Source organism: Homo sapiens, chromosome 7 (genome assembly GCF_000001405.40).
Source record: "Homo sapiens chromosome 7, GRCh38.p14 Primary Assembly".
NCBI lineage: Eukaryota > Metazoa > Chordata > Mammalia > Primates > Hominidae > Homo > Homo sapiens.
The window spans coordinates 141,998,463-142,016,292 of NC_000007.14; the positions used below are offsets into that span (position 1 = coordinate 141,998,463).

General features: G+C 35.7%; 1 protein-coding gene across 12 annotated transcripts in view; it reads left to right on the forward strand.

The window, feature by feature from the left end:
* Positions 1-17,830, forward strand: part of MGAM (maltase-glucoamylase) — a 120,230-nt gene that overhangs the window by 11,945 nt on the left and 90,455 nt on the right. For 9 of the 12 annotated variants that reach the window (XM_017012772.2, XM_011516672.3, XM_011516670.3 and 6 more), the window contains 2 exons: positions 7,067-7,195; positions 10,044-10,243. In XM_017012772.2, coding sequence (XP_016868261.1) covers positions 7,069-7,195; positions 10,044-10,243 — 327 coding nt within the window. In that variant the 5' untranslated portion in view covers positions 7,067-7,068. Of the gene's footprint in view, positions 1-5,927; positions 6,027-7,066; positions 7,196-10,043; positions 10,244-17,830 lie in introns of all 12 variants that reach the window. The other 3 variants (XM_047421011.1, XM_047421012.1, XM_011516671.3) reach the window with 1 other exon arrangement.

The following is a 17,830-nucleotide window of genomic DNA, read 5'->3' on the forward strand; positions in this document are numbered from 1 at the left end:
GTTCTCATTGTTCAACTTCCACTTATGAGTGAAAACATGTAGTGTTTGGTTTTCTGTTCCTGTGTTAGTTTGCTGAGAATGATGGCTTCCAGTTTCATCCATGTCCCTGCAAAGGACATGAACTCATCCTTTTTTATGACTGCATAGTATTTCATGGTGTATATGTGCCACATTTTGTTTATTCAGTCTATCATTGATGGGCATTTGGGTTGGTTCCAAGTCTTTGCTATTGTAAATAGTGCTGCAGTAAACATACGTGTGCGTGTGTCTTTATAGTAGAATGATTTATAATCCTTCGGGTACATACCCTGTAATGGGATTGCTGGGTCAAATGGTATTTCTAGTTCTAGATCCTTAAGGAATTGCCACGCTGTCTTCCACAATGCTTGAACTAATTTACACTCCCAACAGTGTAAAAGCGTTCATATGTATATAGTAATAATTCTTATATTTCAGTAAGATTATTTTCTGACCAACCTAATTAAAATTGCCACCCTTACCCCAACATTCCTCATTTACCCCCCACTTTTTCTCCATATACTTACACAGTATAACCCAGTGTATATTTATTTATTTTGTTTATTGTCTCTTTTTTCTATTCATGGGAACATAAGTCTCATGACGGCAGGGATTTTTATCTGTTTTGTTCATTGTTGTGTAGTCAGTTTTTGAAAGAATGCTTGGCACATTGTAGGAACTTAATAAATAATTCATGAATGAATAAATAAACTGCAAGCAGATTTCTTTCTTCCAGAGATGTAGTTTAGATAATGATGAATGATCTTGGCAAATGAGGCACATCAGTAGCTTCTTCTAGGTCTCCCAGATAATTTAAAACGTGCTATGGGCCATAAACTTAATGTGTTTTTATTTGATAAAACTATAATCTCACAGAAAGCCCAAGCTGGTGTACACTGTGGGGCATTATAGCATAGAATACAGAGTGATGGTTAAAAGCCATGGCTGTGGAGTCCAAAGGGCAGGTGTTCAAATTGTGGCTTTGCTCCTTATCAGCTGTATGATGACATCAGGCAGTTTATTTGACGTTTCTGAAGCTTAGTTTTTTCATCTGAAAGTGAGGATAGTAGCCATGATTAACTTGCAGTCGTTATAAAAATGGCATGTGACAAATTATGGAAACCTCTTAGGATATCTGCTCAATCACTGTTAACCATTATTATCATTAGCATTAAAATTGCATAGTTATATATTTGTCCTATAAAAAAATAGTCAAAGATTAAGGACAGATTGCCAAGTAGCAGTTTTTTAAAAAACATTTTTAAAAGCCCTTAACCCTATTTAAATTATTTCCTTTTTTATTTGCGTCTTGCCATTTTTCCTGATCTTAGTTTTTCTTCAATTGCATTTCTAATTGAGATAGGAAGCTTCACCATCAAGAGTTCTATAATGCAGGAAGTAAGGTCAATCAGATAATGCTGGAGTTTTTTTTAAGGTTTAAGGAAATCTTTCTCTTGTATAGCTAGAAAATAGATATTATTGTTCCATAGAGCAAGTAACCATATTTGAAAATATGGAGCAAAAGGACTATTAATAAACAGCAAACATGTTTTTAAAAATATGCTAATGATATTTTATTAAAAAGTCATATTTACCTATGCATATTGGTTATCTATTGCAGGGTAACAAATTACCTTACAATTTTGTAGTTTAAAACAACAAACATTTATTATCTCCCAATTTATGTAGGTCAGAAATATGGGGGTGAGTTAGCCGAGTGGTGCTGATTTAGGGTCTCTCATGAATCCAGCCAATATGTCAGCCAGGACTGTAGTCATGTGAAGGCTTGAATAGGGGTAGAGGCTTGCTTTCAAGGGACCTCACTCAGATGGCTCTTAGCAGAAGACCTCAGTTCTTTGCTAGAAATTTCCATAGTCCTGCTTGAATGTTATGATGGCATGGTAACTGGTTTCTTCAGGAAATGATCCAAGAGAAAGAGCAAGGAGGAAGCTGTAATGCCTAGTCTTGGAAGTTAGATGCCATCCCTTCTCCACATCCTATCTGTTGAAAGTGAGTCACTAAGTCCAGCTCATCCTCAGAGGGTGAGGTGGTGGGGACTCGCCCTACCTCTTGAAGAGAGGAGTATCAAATAATTTGTTAAATTAAAAACACCTGCCGTGTGATGATTTTAAATAACATTGAATTATATTTTACTTCACGTATTTACTGATTGCTGTCTCTATGGATATTTACACTTTTTTGCTATTACGTGTAATACTGTGATGAAAAACCTTTATTTGTATATACATTGATTCCCAAGTGTGTAAGTGTATTTAAGGGATGAATTTCTATAAATGCAATTGCTGGGTAATGGGCATGAGTAATTTTAATAGTTTTTACCAAGTCTTCATTGAGCATAGGGTGTTTATAGTTTGACCAGCAGTCGGTGGGTGTTTCTTCATAGTGTCTAACATAGTGTGTTAATAAACACTTGGAAAAAAATTAAATATTTTTATAAAAAGCAATCTCACATCTTACAACTATTAGCATCTACCAAAGAGGAGGCATGGTCACTTGGATAGACATTCTAACTCCTCTTCTTATCAGTGAACATAAGATTACTCTTTGCTTTATTAGTTAATTTAATTATACCAGGCATGAGAGATTATTAATCTTTATGGAATTTAACAAGCAAGTTTAATTTTATAGGATTTCTTATGAAGCTCTTTGGAATGTGAGATAGTGGTGACAGTCATGGTAAGAAAGACTAGAATTGGAGTAATTTATTCTAGAAAACACAAGGCAATCCTTGCTGTAGAGAAAGGTTGCTTTCACAGCTCCATTTCCTTTTGCATAGTAAGAGGGCATTACGTTGACTAACAGCAGTTTCTTATCAGTGTATGAGAAGTAAGTCCTCTTATTCAACCAATCCTTGGATAAATGACTAAGGATGGCTGCTTCCTACTGAAGAGAATGTGGGAGGAAACATTGATTGGGTGGAGAATGAGACCGCAAGGAAATATCAAACAATTCCTAAATTAGGGAGTCATGAATTAAGACCTCACAGGAGAAGAAGGGTGATGTTCTTTTTGAGTAAAGAGAGTATGATTTACAAGGCAGCCTGGGAAAGCAAGCATTGGTGGGTTGGTGGAGAAAGTAGGCCTTGTATAGGCAAGACTGTAGCTATGGCTCCTCTTCCTGGCTTTCTGCACCTATGTCCCAGGCAATGCATGAGTCATCCAACACACGGGGCCATAAAGCACTTAATGAAGGTCATACCAGAGCAAGCCAACCAGGACAGCAATCAGCATTGTTCATCAGCTGCTCCACCAGAACACCAAGTCGGGTGTGGTGACACACTCAGGGAAAGTGGGACTGACATATTTTGTAGGAACATTCTGTTTCTTACCCAGGACCCATTACCTGTCTTCTCTTTGGTAAATAATGAGACCTGTGCTTTATGACTTAGAATATTTTTATTTGATTTCCACAATAAGAAGGTGGCAATAGATAATAATAACAAAAGAAATTGTAGTTTCATTTTACAGATAAGAAAATTGAGACTCAAGAGTATTACATAAATTGTTTCAGCTACCACAGCAAAAAATGGTATGGTTGGGAATCAAGCTCAGGGATTCTCATGCTCTATTTAGCACCACCTTCTCTTCTGAGAAGAACTTGGGGATAGAATAAAAAAATAAGACACTAATGAAATGTTTAGCACATGTGTCTTTTGTGAAAGGGAGAAATAGAGTAGTGTGAGATTTCTGTGACTCACTTGAAAATGACTTTTAAAAACTAATATAGAAGCCAACATCACCCTGATACCAAAGACAAAGACACAACAAAAGAATAAAACTACAGACCAATATCCCTTATTAACATAGATTCAAAAATTCTTGACAAAATACTAACAAACTGAATCCAACAGCATGTGGAAAAGATAATAACACCATGATTAGTGAGTTTTATTACAGATATGCAAGGATGATTCAACATGCACAATTCCATAAATGTGATTCATCACACAAACAGAATTAAAAACAAAACCCATATGATCATATCAATAGATGCACAAAAAGTATTTGATAAAATCCAGCATTCCTTCATAAAAAAAAACCCTTAAAAACCTTGGCGTAGGGAGACCATACCTCAAAATAATGAAAGCCATATATGAAAAACCCATAGCCAAAATCATACTGAACAGGGAAAAGTTCAGTACGATTGAAAGCATTCCCCCTAAATGGAGAAAAGACAAGGATGCCCATTGTCACCACTCATATTCAATATAGTACTGGGAGTCCTAGCTGCAGCAGTCAGGCAATAGAAGAAAATAACAGGCATCCAAACTGGAAAAAAGGAAGTCAAATTACCTCTGTTCACTGATGGTATAATCTTATACCTAGGAAACTCTAAACCCTTCAAAAGACTCCTAGATTTAATAAATGACTTCAGTAAAGTTTCAGGACACAAAATTAATGTACAAAAATTAGTAGCATTTCCATACACCAGTAACAATCAGGCTGAGAACCAAATCAAGAACTCAATCCCATTTACAATAAAATAAAATAAAATACCTAGTAATACATTTGACCAAGGAGGTCAAGGATCTCTACAGACAACTATAAAACACTGATGAAAGAAATTGTAGATGACACAAATTGGAAAACATCCCATGTTCAAGGATTGGAGGAATCAGTATCATCAAAATGACCATACTGCCCAAAGCAATCTACAGATTCAGTGCAATTGTTATCAAATTACCAATATTATTCTTCACAGGTTTAGAAAAAACAATCCTAAAATTCATATGGAACCCTGAAAGAGTGTAAGTAGCCCAAGTAATCCAAAGCAAAAAGAATAAAGCTGGAGGTATCACATTACCTGACTTCAAATTACTCTAAAAGACTATAGTAATGCAAACAGCACAGTACTGGTATAGAAATAGACATATAAATCGGTAGAAAAGAATAGAGAACTCAGAAACATAGCCAAATACCTACAATCAACTGATTCTTGACAAAAATATGCACTGGTGAAAGGACTCCCTATTCAATAAATGGTACTGGGAAAACTGGGATGTCATATGCAGAAGAATGAAATCTCTCACCATGTACAAAAATTAACTCAAGATGGATTTAAGGCTTAAATGTAAGACCTGAAACTATAAAATTACTAGAAGAAAAATCTAGGAAACACTCTCTGGACATTGGCCTAGGCAAAGAATTTATGACCAAGTCCTCAAAAGAAACCACAACAGAAACAAAATCAGACAAAAGGGGACTTAATTAAACTAAAAAGCTTCTGCACAGTAAAAAAATAAAATAGAGTAAACAGACAACCAACAGAATGGGTTAAAATATTTGCAAACAGTGTATCTGACAAAGGGCTAAGATCCAGAATCTATAAGGAACTCAACAGGAAAAAAAACACATAACCCCATTAAAAAGTGGGCAAAGGACATGAACAGGTATTTTTCCAAAAAAAAGGCATACAAGTGGCCAAAAAACATGAAAAAATGCTCAACATCACTAATCATCAGAGAAATGCAAATTAAAACCACAAATGAGATGATATCTTACACTGGTCAGAATGGCTATTATTGAAAAGTCAAAAAACAACACATATTGGGGAGGATGCAGAAAAAAGGAAATGCTGATACAGTTTTAGTGAGGATGTAAATTAGTACAATCTCTATAGAAAATGGTATGGAGATTTCTCAAGGAACTAAAATTAGAACTACCCTTCAATCCAGCAATTCCACTACTGAGTATCTACACATAAAAAAATAAATTGTTTTATCAAGAAGACACCTGCAATTGTATTTTTATTGCAGCAGTGTTCACAATAGTAAAGTCATGAAATCAATCCAAGTGTTCATCAACAGATGATTGGATTAAAAATGTAGTGTACCTATATGCCATGGAATACTACTCATCCATAAAAAACAATGAAATCATATTTTTTAGCAACATGGATAGACCTGGAGGCTATTTTTTCTGCGTGAAATGACCCAGAAACAGAAAGTAAAAAACTGCATGTTCTCACTTATACACGAGAGATAAACAGTGAGTATATATGGACATACAGAGTCATAGACACTAGAGACTCCAAAAGGAGAAAGGGTTAGGGGGGAGGTGAAATACTACCTATTGGGTACAATGTACACTATTTGGGTGATTGGTACACTAAAAGCCCAGTCTTCACCACTATGCATATACATCCATGTAACATAATTGCATTTGTACTCCTAAATCTATAAAAATTAAAATCAGTACAAAATATTTTTAAAAAGTGAAAAAAATGCTGGTAGGAATATCATAGATCTTCTAGTTCAATTTATTTCCTTTGTAAATGAGAAAACTGAGAATGAGAAAGCTTAAGTAAATTTTCCAAGGTAGTCTAGCTGGTTATTTTCAGAATGAAGATTGCAAAAAAGAGAATTAACTAGATTTAAAGTCTCCTGGAAGATGCTATATCATCTATGTACCATTCTTGCTAAAAAATCAAACTTAAATCTGATAAAAACTCTAAAGCTAATAATTAATTTACAGGAACTATAAGGGTAGAGAAACATGTTAGCATGCATAGAGATGTAATCAACAAAATTCAGATTGCAGGAAAAATCTACAGAACAAATTCTGTTTATTAAAAAATACATAACAGATATAAACCAATTACAAGAGATAAATCTTACTTGCATCCTCAGGAGAGCAGAACAAATTATAAAAGTTTATCAGACAATGAAAGAAATTTTAAAATTCACTAGATATTTGATGACAGTAAATTATTATAAACATATATTAGGTATGATAATATTTTGCCTTTTGCAAAATTTCTTATCTTTTAAAGAAACATACTATTTTTAGATTAAAAGACATGAGACCTGAGATTTGTTTCAAAGTAATTCAGGGGTAGGGAGAAAAGTGGACCAGAATAAGGACAGAATGAATTGGCCATGAGCTGATAATTTTTTAATTTAGATAATGGATGCTTGGGAGGCTTGTTATAGTATTCATTGCATACATTTGAGCTTTTCCATTAAAAATCTTACTAGTTATATAGTAAATCAAATTCAAATCTAAAATTGTTTTCTCTTACATTTTAGAGATGGCAAGAAAGAAGCTGAAAAAATTTACTACTTTGGAGATTGTGCTCAGTGTTCTTCTGCTTGTGTTGTTTATCATCAGTATTGTTCTAATTGTGCTTTTAGCCAAAGAGTCACTGAAATCAACAGGTAAGAAGTAACTCTGGGGCTCTCTCCATATGTTGTTTTTATTAGAGCAAACCTTCAACAATGTCAGGAAAGTAATGCTTTCATGCTCATGTGTGTATGTGTTTGTTGCGGGGGCTGTTATATGTGTGTGTTCTATGTGTTTTGGACAGCTCAGTAGATATTCATTGTAGGTTTAAGTTCTGATACTTTGATTTATCAATTAATGCATTGCAGAATTCCATAATTGACTTTTTAAAAATATTTGCCAAATTTCCTTAAATAAGTCTAATTCTGCTAAGAATGATAATTAACAATACCCTTATGTGAAAGGCAAGCGAGTATATGAGAGACTTCAAGCAGTTTGTGGAAAAATAGAAATATAGAAATAAAAAGAAAGCTAGAAAGATAAAAATAAAAAAAACTTTATTTCTCAGTGTAAACTCCATCAAGTTCAAGACACTTTTGTAAAAGATGATACCAGCCATTTAGTCCATCCATAAGAACTGAGGGTCCTGGGAATTTAACCTTTGTAATGCAGTCTTTTTTACATTATTAACTGAAAAAAATGAATGCCCTTTATAGATTTTTTTTTAAGATTAGGAAACTAAAAGAAGTCAAAAGGAGCCAAATAGGAACCATAAGGTGGATTTCCCATCAAAACTCTTGCAAAATTGCCCTTGTTTGATGATGAAATTAGCAGGAGCTTTGTGGTGGTGGAGAAGGACTCTCCGTGAAGCTTTCCCGGGCATTTTTCTGCTAAAGCTTTGGCAAACTTTCTCAAAGCACTCTCATGATGAGCAGATGTTACTGCTCTTTGGCCCTCCAGAAAGTCAACAAGGAAAATGCCTTGAGTATCCCAAAAAACCGTTATGTGACCTTTGCTCTTGACTGGTCTGCTTTTGCTGTGACTGGGCCACTTTCCCCTCTTGGGAGCCATTGCTTTGTGCTTTGTCTTAAGGCTCATACTGGTAAAGCCATGTTCCATCACCTGCTACAACTCTTGGAAGAAATATTTCAGAATCTTGATCCCCACTTGTTTAAAATTTCTGTTTAAGGTTCTGCTCTTGTTTGCAGCTGATGTGGGTGCAACAATTTTGGTACCCGTAGAGCAGAAAGTGTGCTCAACTTTCATTTTTCAGTCAGAACTATATAAGCTGAACCAATTGAGACATCTGTGGTTTTGACTATTGTTTCTGGTGTTATTTGTCAGTCCTCTTCATTAGGGCATGAAAAAATTAATTTTTATCTTCACAAATGGATGTGGATGGTCTGCTGCTGTGCGCTTCATCTTCAATATTGTATTGGCCCTTCTTAAAATAAGTTATTCCTTTGTAAACTGCTGATTTCTTTGGGGCATTGTCCCCATAAACTTTTTGTGAGTATCAGTGATTTCACCATTTTTCCACCCAAGCTTCACCGTGAGTTTGATGTTTGTTCTTGTTTCAATTTTAGCAGAATTTATGTTGCTCTGATAGGTGCTCTTTTCAAATTGATGTCTTATCTTTCCTAGTGCCTCAAGCTAAGTCCTGTTCAGACATGTTGTAACAATCTACTTTGAGTTTATTTTAGTACCAAAAATATTTGAAATTTATACATAGTTTTTTCATAATACATATTTTTCATGGACTTTCTGAAGACCCTCATCTAATCAAACTTTTTTTGTTTATTGAATTTTTATATCCTCAAAAGGAGCTGGATTATGCTGAATTATCCATGGTTTCTTATCTGATTCATCTAGGATCAACTTCCTAGGAGAACCAGGCAATCAAGTGTTAACCTGTGGCTTCTCTGCCCCTCCTACCCCATCCCTTGTTACAACAATATCTACTTTTTGTAGAAAAAAGTCCCAAAGATTGCTCAACTCTTAAAATTATGTGATTCTAAAGATGTAACTAAAACCATTATGCAGACATTGGCACAATTTGAATTTGAAACCCCCAATGAAAAGAAAACCAATCAAAAGACACTGTTTTGTCTTAATGTCATTATTAATTTATTGCAGAATACCTTCAAGAAAGCTCACCTCCTTATTTTAGGATACAATAAAAATACCTTTTCTAATTTACTGATTTTTAAATCTGAATTCAAAGTTCACTAGCCCTTAGGTAAGTCCTAGCTGTCAGTTTTTAGAGTGGTGGCCTCCCTTTACATCTTTTGTCATATAGGACTTTGTATTTACAGAAGAATGGCATTGCTCAGAAGCATTCTTTGACTTGGGGATTGGCTGTTGACTGAGCAAGCAAAGCTGAGGTTACTATAATTAGGATGACACTTGTACTGCACATGTTCTGTGTGCCCTTGCTGCTGGGGTTGGAAGTAAAGAATCAGATCAGAGGTCTTCAGACTTTACTGTAAAGGACCAGATAGTAAATATTTTAGATTTTGTGGGCCATACAGACTCTGCCATAATGACTTAATTTTGCCCTAGTAGCACAAAGCAGCTAAAAACAAACGAGTTTGTAATGTGTATAATATGTAATGTGCATGTGTGTAATGTTCCAGTAATACTTTGTTTGTAAAACAGGCTTTGACTTAATTTGGCCTGAAGGCCATAGTTACTGACCCCTAGACTAAAGGAAGGGTGGTCCCCACCTTCATGAGCTTCTAGTCTAAAGGCGGAGTCCTTGCTCTTATACATACTATCTTGTAGGGGAGGGAGTTGGGAGTAGAAGGAGATGATATAGAGATACACAAAGGTAAATACAGTCAGCAGGAACAAAGTGACATTTTATAAAGTGAATGCATAAATTTTGAGGTCATCAGAGTGAAGCCTACTCAGTAGTGGAGTTAATTGGAGGTGTTGAGAACTATTGAATGTCTGTGAAATTAAATTTGTCTAATGGTCTTTTTATGTTTGCTTTTGGTATAGCCCCAGATCCTGGGACAACTGGTACCCCAGATCCTGGGACAACTGGTACCCCAGATCCTGGAACAACTGGTACCACACATGCTAGGACAACGGGTCCCCCAGATCCTGGAACAACTGGTACCACTCCTGTTTCTGCTGAATGTCCAGTGGTAAATGAATTGGAACGAATTAATTGCATCCCTGACCAGCCGCCAACAAAGGTTTGAGTTATGAATTTTGTTTCCATTTTAGAATTTATGCAACTTGATAGTTTATTTTTTTTTGTTGTTTTGTTTTGGTTTTCTTTATTAGTGACTCTCAAGAGAGGTGTTTATGTTGCAGCCATTAGTGGCTCAGGCAAATTAACCTGTGTCCATGCTTGTATGACAGTGCAGCTTCAGGAAAGGAAGACCTGGAAAATTCCCTTGGGTTGCCAGATTCAGCAAATAAAAGTGCGGTTGCCCAGCCAAATTCAAATTTCAGAAAAACAATGAATAAGCTTTTAGTATAAGTGTGTCCCGTGAAAGATTTTGGGCTTACTTACTAAAAACGTATTTGTCTTTTATATGGCAACACTACATGATTACTAGTTCTTTCTGACTCTGTTCATGCCCTGTATGTCTCTCCTCCTTTCAGAATTTCCAAAGCTCATCTAGAATCTGCAGTAAAAATTCACAAAACATTATTTAAAATAAGGGCAAAGTTTCAAGAGCTCTGTTTTGGAAGGAAGAAGGTAATGAATACCAGATTAAAGACAGTGCAGACATCTGGGCATTTACCTTAGCCCAGTGTTTCTAGATTATCGGCTGAAGTCCACCTGATTATGATGATTATAAAGTACTTGCCCACACCCTATGTTTGATGTGCCAAATTTACAGAAAGTTGATGCACATGCATTTACTTTCCCTGTCATATTGTGCAAGTTACTCAATAGCTCAATTGAGCTGTACTCAATAGCTCACTCAAGCTGTACTCAATAGCTCACTCATTACTTGGAAGCTCACCTAGATTATCACATTCTCAGTATGTCACACTACTGCAACACTCCATCTTGTCACTGGGTATTGGTGCACTTCAGATACAGCCATAGTAATGTTTCTTTGGTGCTTTATTGTAAGATCTTTTGATAAATACTGTGGTATCAAGATTGAAGTTCAATAAATGAACTTTGGCTTTTCTACATGTCATATCTAACTGAATTACTCCACGGCCTTGGCGTTTATTAATTGGCATTCTCCTTTTTTGCTCAGCCAGAGAGAAATACTGGCACTTTCAATGATTCATTTTCTTGTAGAAGATACATCTTAGAACTTTTGTTGTATGTTTTCTGAATCCTGAGAGCGGTATGCTGATCCAGATTGTTGTTGAGAGCTGAGGCTATGGATAATGATGTGTTTGTATGGTGTTCACATTAAAGGGAATGTAGCTGAAAGAGGATGGTGGGAAGAAGTTATGAACACAACAGATAGGCTAGGCAGAATGTTCTGGTGTCGAAACCATTGCTATATAATTTTATCATTCTTATCATCTGTCCTCCAAGATTATATGTAAAAGAACTAAAAGAATAACTTTCTCTGCAGATGATTCTTGGTTGTAAATACCATTGTTTGATTCTCCCAGTTATGAGAGGGAATCCTTTTCCAGTACAGGAGGAAGTACTGTATCAAGCCACCCTGACACCCTGAGTACTCTTGGGAGACTCTTCTTTGGAGAGAATGGACTCTAGGAGTCCCCTTCATGGATCTTAGAAAAAAAGATCACTCGATTATCTAACTCTAGTTCGGATCTTTAGTTCTGGGCTTGAAGCTGGTTGGAGGGCATCTTCACTGAATTCCTTCCTATCATATCAGCTGAACTCGTTACCTCCTCACCAAATCTGCTTTTCCTTCTCAGCTACCAGATTTCTGCTAGTAGTTCTATTAAGCTTCTAGTTCTTGAGACAGAAACAGCAGAACTTCTGCTTGGCTCATCCCTTCTATCCCTTTGGCCAGTATTCCATGTATTTTAAAATATTTTCCTTAACAATAATTTCCAGAAGAGGCATTTCATTTCCATTCTTGCAGCCATCCCTAGATCATCATTTCCTCATGCTTGGGTTGCTCCAGGTGCCCCTTGGCATCCCTTCTGAATTCCATTTCTCCTATCCATTCCGTTACATGTGGGATTAGAATTTCTCTTTTTTACATCCAACTTTTGTTATTATTTCTACCCAACTTCAGTACATATAGTGGTTTATTACTGTACGTTGAGCCAAGTTCAAACACTGTCTTCTATCATCTAAGACCCTACCTCTGTGCCTCTATAGGTTCACTTAGGCTATACTTCTATGCAGATTTTAAAGACAACTGTCTACACTTATTCCAAACCTTTGAATTCTAAAATCCTTTCCACTTTCTTGATGAAGTCTTTTATCCCCAATTCCAGAACGCAGAGTTGAAAGATCCCATTGATGGCAGGGAGCAGGAATATTTCATCAAATTCCAGATATCCAGCTTAGGAAAGAAATGATAGTTAATACTTTTAAATCCTTTGATTTTTCAGGGCTATAAAGCACTGTGTAAACATGGGAGGGCAGGTTACGTGCTTAAAGATAAACCCGCATGCCCTAAGTAAATGTTGCAGAGTAATTAAGCTGAGAGAAATTCACAGTTGATTTCCAAGGATAACAATAACATAAGTGGTAATCTCAATAATTTGAGAGGTTACCATATTTCTTAAACAGAAGCTTTGTCATCTTTTACAGCGAACACACTTGGTAATTGTCTATGTATTACTCATTTATTTGGCTTATGATATCCTTTTCCAAATTCCAGTTTATTATCAATATGTTGGGGATCATGTTTTATGATATAGCAGCAAGGGTATTGCATTTTGCCAAGATCATTGTGAGTCTTCACCTTTAAATTACTCTGTGTTTACACAACATCAGTTAATAGCCATTATATGGTGCTAGGAAGAGCAGTGAGCCCAGATAAAAACTTAAAGTCTTAAAAGACTTAAGTTTATGTTTGGCACCTTGAAATGATAATGTAGCCATTGGTCAAGTGAAAGGATGTAAGGGGAGCCAGGTTATTGAGTTACTCAGTCCTGGCTTTGCTTCTGGAAAGCTCTTTGACTTGATCAGTAAGTCACATTTTCTTATAAACTGTGAAATCCTTCTAAGTAAAATGAGACAGTATGTGTTCAGCTAAACATACTCATTAAACGTTCGATTAAATGACTATTGAACACTATACTAACCTCAAAATATTTTAGAATAGTGATCTCTAAGGTTCTGGCAAATGTTTCTCTGAATATTCACCACAGTCTGATTTGGGGGACTAGAAAGACTGGATTATGGGAATGGCAGAGGTGGCAACTTTGTTTTAAAAAGTCTTTGCTGTTAGACTTCACTTTGAGGTTAAATGAAGTGGCCAGCCTAACAAGCTAAATTTCAAAACCTGACTCAAGATGCACATATTATAAAATAGCCTACATTTAAGATATTTCACAGAGTCGAGACTAATTTTATTCATTCGTTAGTTCAAACTTGCTGCACATAAAAACAGCTAGAGAACATTTTGATGAATAGAGGGTGATTTGAAATTCCTTTATCATCAAGTGCTTTCAACTTCTAAAATTCCTGCTCTATTTGAAGATGGGATACTTTGTCTCATTCTACTCATTTTCTTCATGTGGAGACTTTCTGGTTCCACCTTTTTTGTTCACAACATCAGGTTCTTTTGTGCTGCTATAACATAATGCCCAAGACTGAGTAATTTATCAAACACAGAAATTTACTTATCATAGTTATGGATGGAGACTAGAAAGAACAAGACCAAGGTGCTGGCATCTTGTGAGGACCTTCTTGCTGCATCCTCACATGGCAGCACGTAGACAGCAAGAGACAGCCCACTGTCTCCTTTATAAGGGCACCTAATTCCCTTTGTCTGGGAGGAGGCTTCATGGCCTAATCACCTCTTAAAGGCCCCACTGTTAATACTAACATACTGGCAACACGTGAATTTTGGAGGGGGCACATTCCAGCCAAAGCACCAGTCTAACTGAAATTGCTCTAAGTCTTCTATTTTCTTAGACTTCTGTTTTCTTAGGGCAAGCTTCTCCATTTGTCTACTGAATTACAAACTATCCAAACTTAGTGGTTTGCAGCAACAATTGTTTTATTATATGTAGTGATTTTGTAAGTCAGAGATTCTGCCAGGGTTTGGCTGAATGGTTCTGTTCCACATAGCATTTACTGGGATTACATGATATGGTGGTATTTAGTTGGTGGCTGATCTTGTCTGGAGGTTTCAAGATGACTTTACTCACATACCTGGTACCTTGGTGAAAATGGTGGTAAGACTGACTGCACCCTCTTCCCCTCCATGTAGTCACGGAGTCTCTCTTGGTACTCTCTCCAGCAGGGTAGCTGAACTTCTTACATGGTGGCTCAGTGCTGCAAGAGACAGAGGCAAAAGCTTCCAGTTCTCTTAAATACCACACCTAAACCAGCATAGTATCACTTTTGATGCATTTTGTTGATCAGATCAGTCTCAGGGCGGCCCAGCTTCAACAGGAACAGCGACAGACTCCACCTCTTGACACAAAGTGTGTTAAGAGAACTTGATGGCCATTTTAAACAACTGCAGAGGAATGCTTATTTTTTTTTTCAGAGTAGCATAAAGGCTGCTGTTAATGGTGAAGGCTGTGGTGACCTGGACAATACAGATCAGAGCAGGATGGGGTGGCACAGGTTAGAGGAGTCAGCACTGGGAATAGGGTGGGTGGCAGAGTTGAGTGACTGAGGTCTAATGCGAATTGTGAGGAGCTCCTCCTGTTCCCTCCAGTGGCAGGAAATGGTTGATGCCACTGACTCACTCAAGCTGACTCTGCCTCAGTCTGGGATCATGTCCTTTTAACCAGCTTGCATTTGTCCTTGCAACTTTGCCCTCTTTCTTTCCTGAATGCTGTAGTTGCTGAAGTTTTGATTTTCTTTTTTTTTAAATCTTAGATCTGCTGTTTCCTAATGCCCTAATGGTTTATGCATTTCAAGGCGCCTGTAATCTTATCAGTAAATTATTTTCACCCCATATTGTGGAAAGACATAGGGAATTACTTTCGAGAAAGTTTCTAGTTGATAATTGATTTCACCTTTAGAATAGGCTTTTGAGAATAGGGTGGCAATTTCTCTTTTTTATACAAAAATATGTGAGAAAGTATTTTTAAAACTAAAAGGCCCACATGCTTACTACAGAAAATGTGTTAGGAGAGAAAGTCTGTGACAGATTCCTTTAGGTTTTTTCTGGTTCTTCTCTCTACCCATTACACTGGTCAGCCCACAAGCACCTGGGGCTTCTCTGTTTTCCTGTAACAGTAGGAATCATGGATTATCATTTAGTGGTTTTCATTTTACTACTTTCTGTTTGCTTCTCTTTTTCTCTATTTCCTAGGCTCTGTCCCAGAAATTCTGATTTAATTCTTAAGGAGTGGATCCCAGGCCTGCTTATTTTTGTAATTTGCCAGGTGATCCAAATGTGCAGCTAAGATTAATAACCATTGGTCTAGAGCAGCAGTTTTCCAACATTGTTCTGTATTAGCATCACGTAGAGAGCTAATAAAATCCTTAGCACTCCAGCTTCAGTGAAGGAGGATAAGGCCTGAGCTTTTATACTTTTCCTGAATTTTCCAGGTGATTCTGACAGGGACCATAGTTTGAGAATATAGTAAAATGTGTTTGACACAATGTGCAAAGTTGTACATTTTTCAGCAGTTCTGTAGGTCGTTATGTTGGAAGGGACTTTGGCAAAATATGGAATGTTTTCAGTCTCTGTTTTTATATTGTTAGGCATGATTATTATAGTCTTCTTGGTAATCCAGTATATGAAAGCTTGAAAAATAATGACACGTTTGGGACTTGATAAAAGATAGGGAGTTGAGAAAATAGGCAGTTCTATATTATTTTCTATTATTTATTTTCACAATGGTTTTGATTTTTTCTATATAGCGTTAACTTCTTTGAAATAATTATTCATAAATATTTAAGATATACAAAAATATATAACCATTATCCAGCTTAAGAAATAAAATATTATCAGCAGAGATGAAGTCCCCCACGCATATCCCTTCTGTATTATTACCTTTTCCTCCATCCTCTTTAGAAGTAACCACACTTTTGAAATTGATATTTACCATGCATTCCTTTCAACCTTTACTACCTCTATATATACTTGTAAATAATAGATATATACAGCCTATAAACAAAATGCATTTTTGTTTATGCGCTTAACATTGTGAGATTTAACTATGTTGATAGATATCTCTAGTTCATTTATTTTGCTATAAAACTGGTACACAATTGTATAAAATTATGTCAATTTTATGGCAAAAATAAATCAAAATCATTCTACAGTAAAAAAAGTTTTTCTTCAATATATTGAAGTTACATCAGTCCCATTCTGAATATTTTTGTAAGTTTTTTTTTACTTGCATCTGTGTGATTTTAGATATATATCTTAAGTTTACTAGACATTATCAAATTGATCTCCAAAGTGGCTGTGCCGATTTACCATCTCACTGTCATTTTCTGTATCTTCTTTGGAATTGACAGTCTTTTAAAGTTTTGCCATTTGAGGATTATAAAATAGTGTTCTGTTGTGGTTTCAGTGCTAATTTTTCTGAATACTAATATTGGTGAACATCTCTCATTTAGTTCTTTTCTGTGAATTTTTCTGTCTTGCCCGATTTTATATTGAGATGTTTATCTTCTTGATGTGTACAGTCTTCCCGTTTGTTCATTCATGTGATTCTGGATTCTTATTCTTATCATATATGTTGCAAATATTTACTGTTAAGAGGCTTTGCTCATCTATTTTATACTGTCTTGATGAACAAAAGTTTTACATTTTAATAGAGTCAAGCCTATCAACAATTGTGACTTATGTTTTGATAACTATGTATTCCCATATTACATTGTATCTCAAAAACAATTCCAGGAAGACTAAAAGCCTAAAGGCAAAAAACAAAAAGTTATAGATTTAAGAAGAGAAAAAAAGAATCTAATATAATAATAATTGAGTTATTCATTCTATTTTTTCTATAAATTTTCTTGAATTTCTACCGAGACAATATTTTGTCTGGAAGTAATGGATGATTTGGCTTCATTGTTTTCAGTCTTGTACATTTTTCTTTCTTGTCCTCTTGAATTGTTAGAACCTCCAATATATTTTTAAATTATAAGCAATCATAGTGATGGATCACTTAGGTTTTTTTTTCTGATTTTAAAAGGAATCCTTTTAATATGTTACCATTTAGTAAGATACTTGTTGTACAGTTTTGGTGGATATCCATGATCAAACTAAGGAAGTTGCTTTTCATTCCAAGTTTGCTAAAAATTTTATTATGATAGCTGATGAATTCAAATGATTATATGGTATACTTTTTAAAATGAGTTTTTTTTAATGAATCACACAAGTAGATTTTCTATTATTAAAGGATCTCCTTATTTCTGGAGGAAACACCACTTGGTTATTATTCGTTTAATATGTACTGATTTCTGTTATTAATCCTTTGTGTGCTTTTTCTTTTAGGCTTTTGCATTTATGTTCATGGATAAGACTCGGCTGTAGTTATCCTTTATGTTTCATGTTTGCTTTTGACATAAAGTACTTTCTTTGTTTCTTCCCTTCTCTCTCTTTTAAGTGTTAAGAAGCATTGGGAATTGGAGGAGGAGAGGATTGGGGTAGAGCAGAGCTTGATTGACTCTTAAGCAGTGTCTTCAGTATCTGGCTTGTCTCTATCTCTGAATTCTATTCACTACTCCTCTTCGT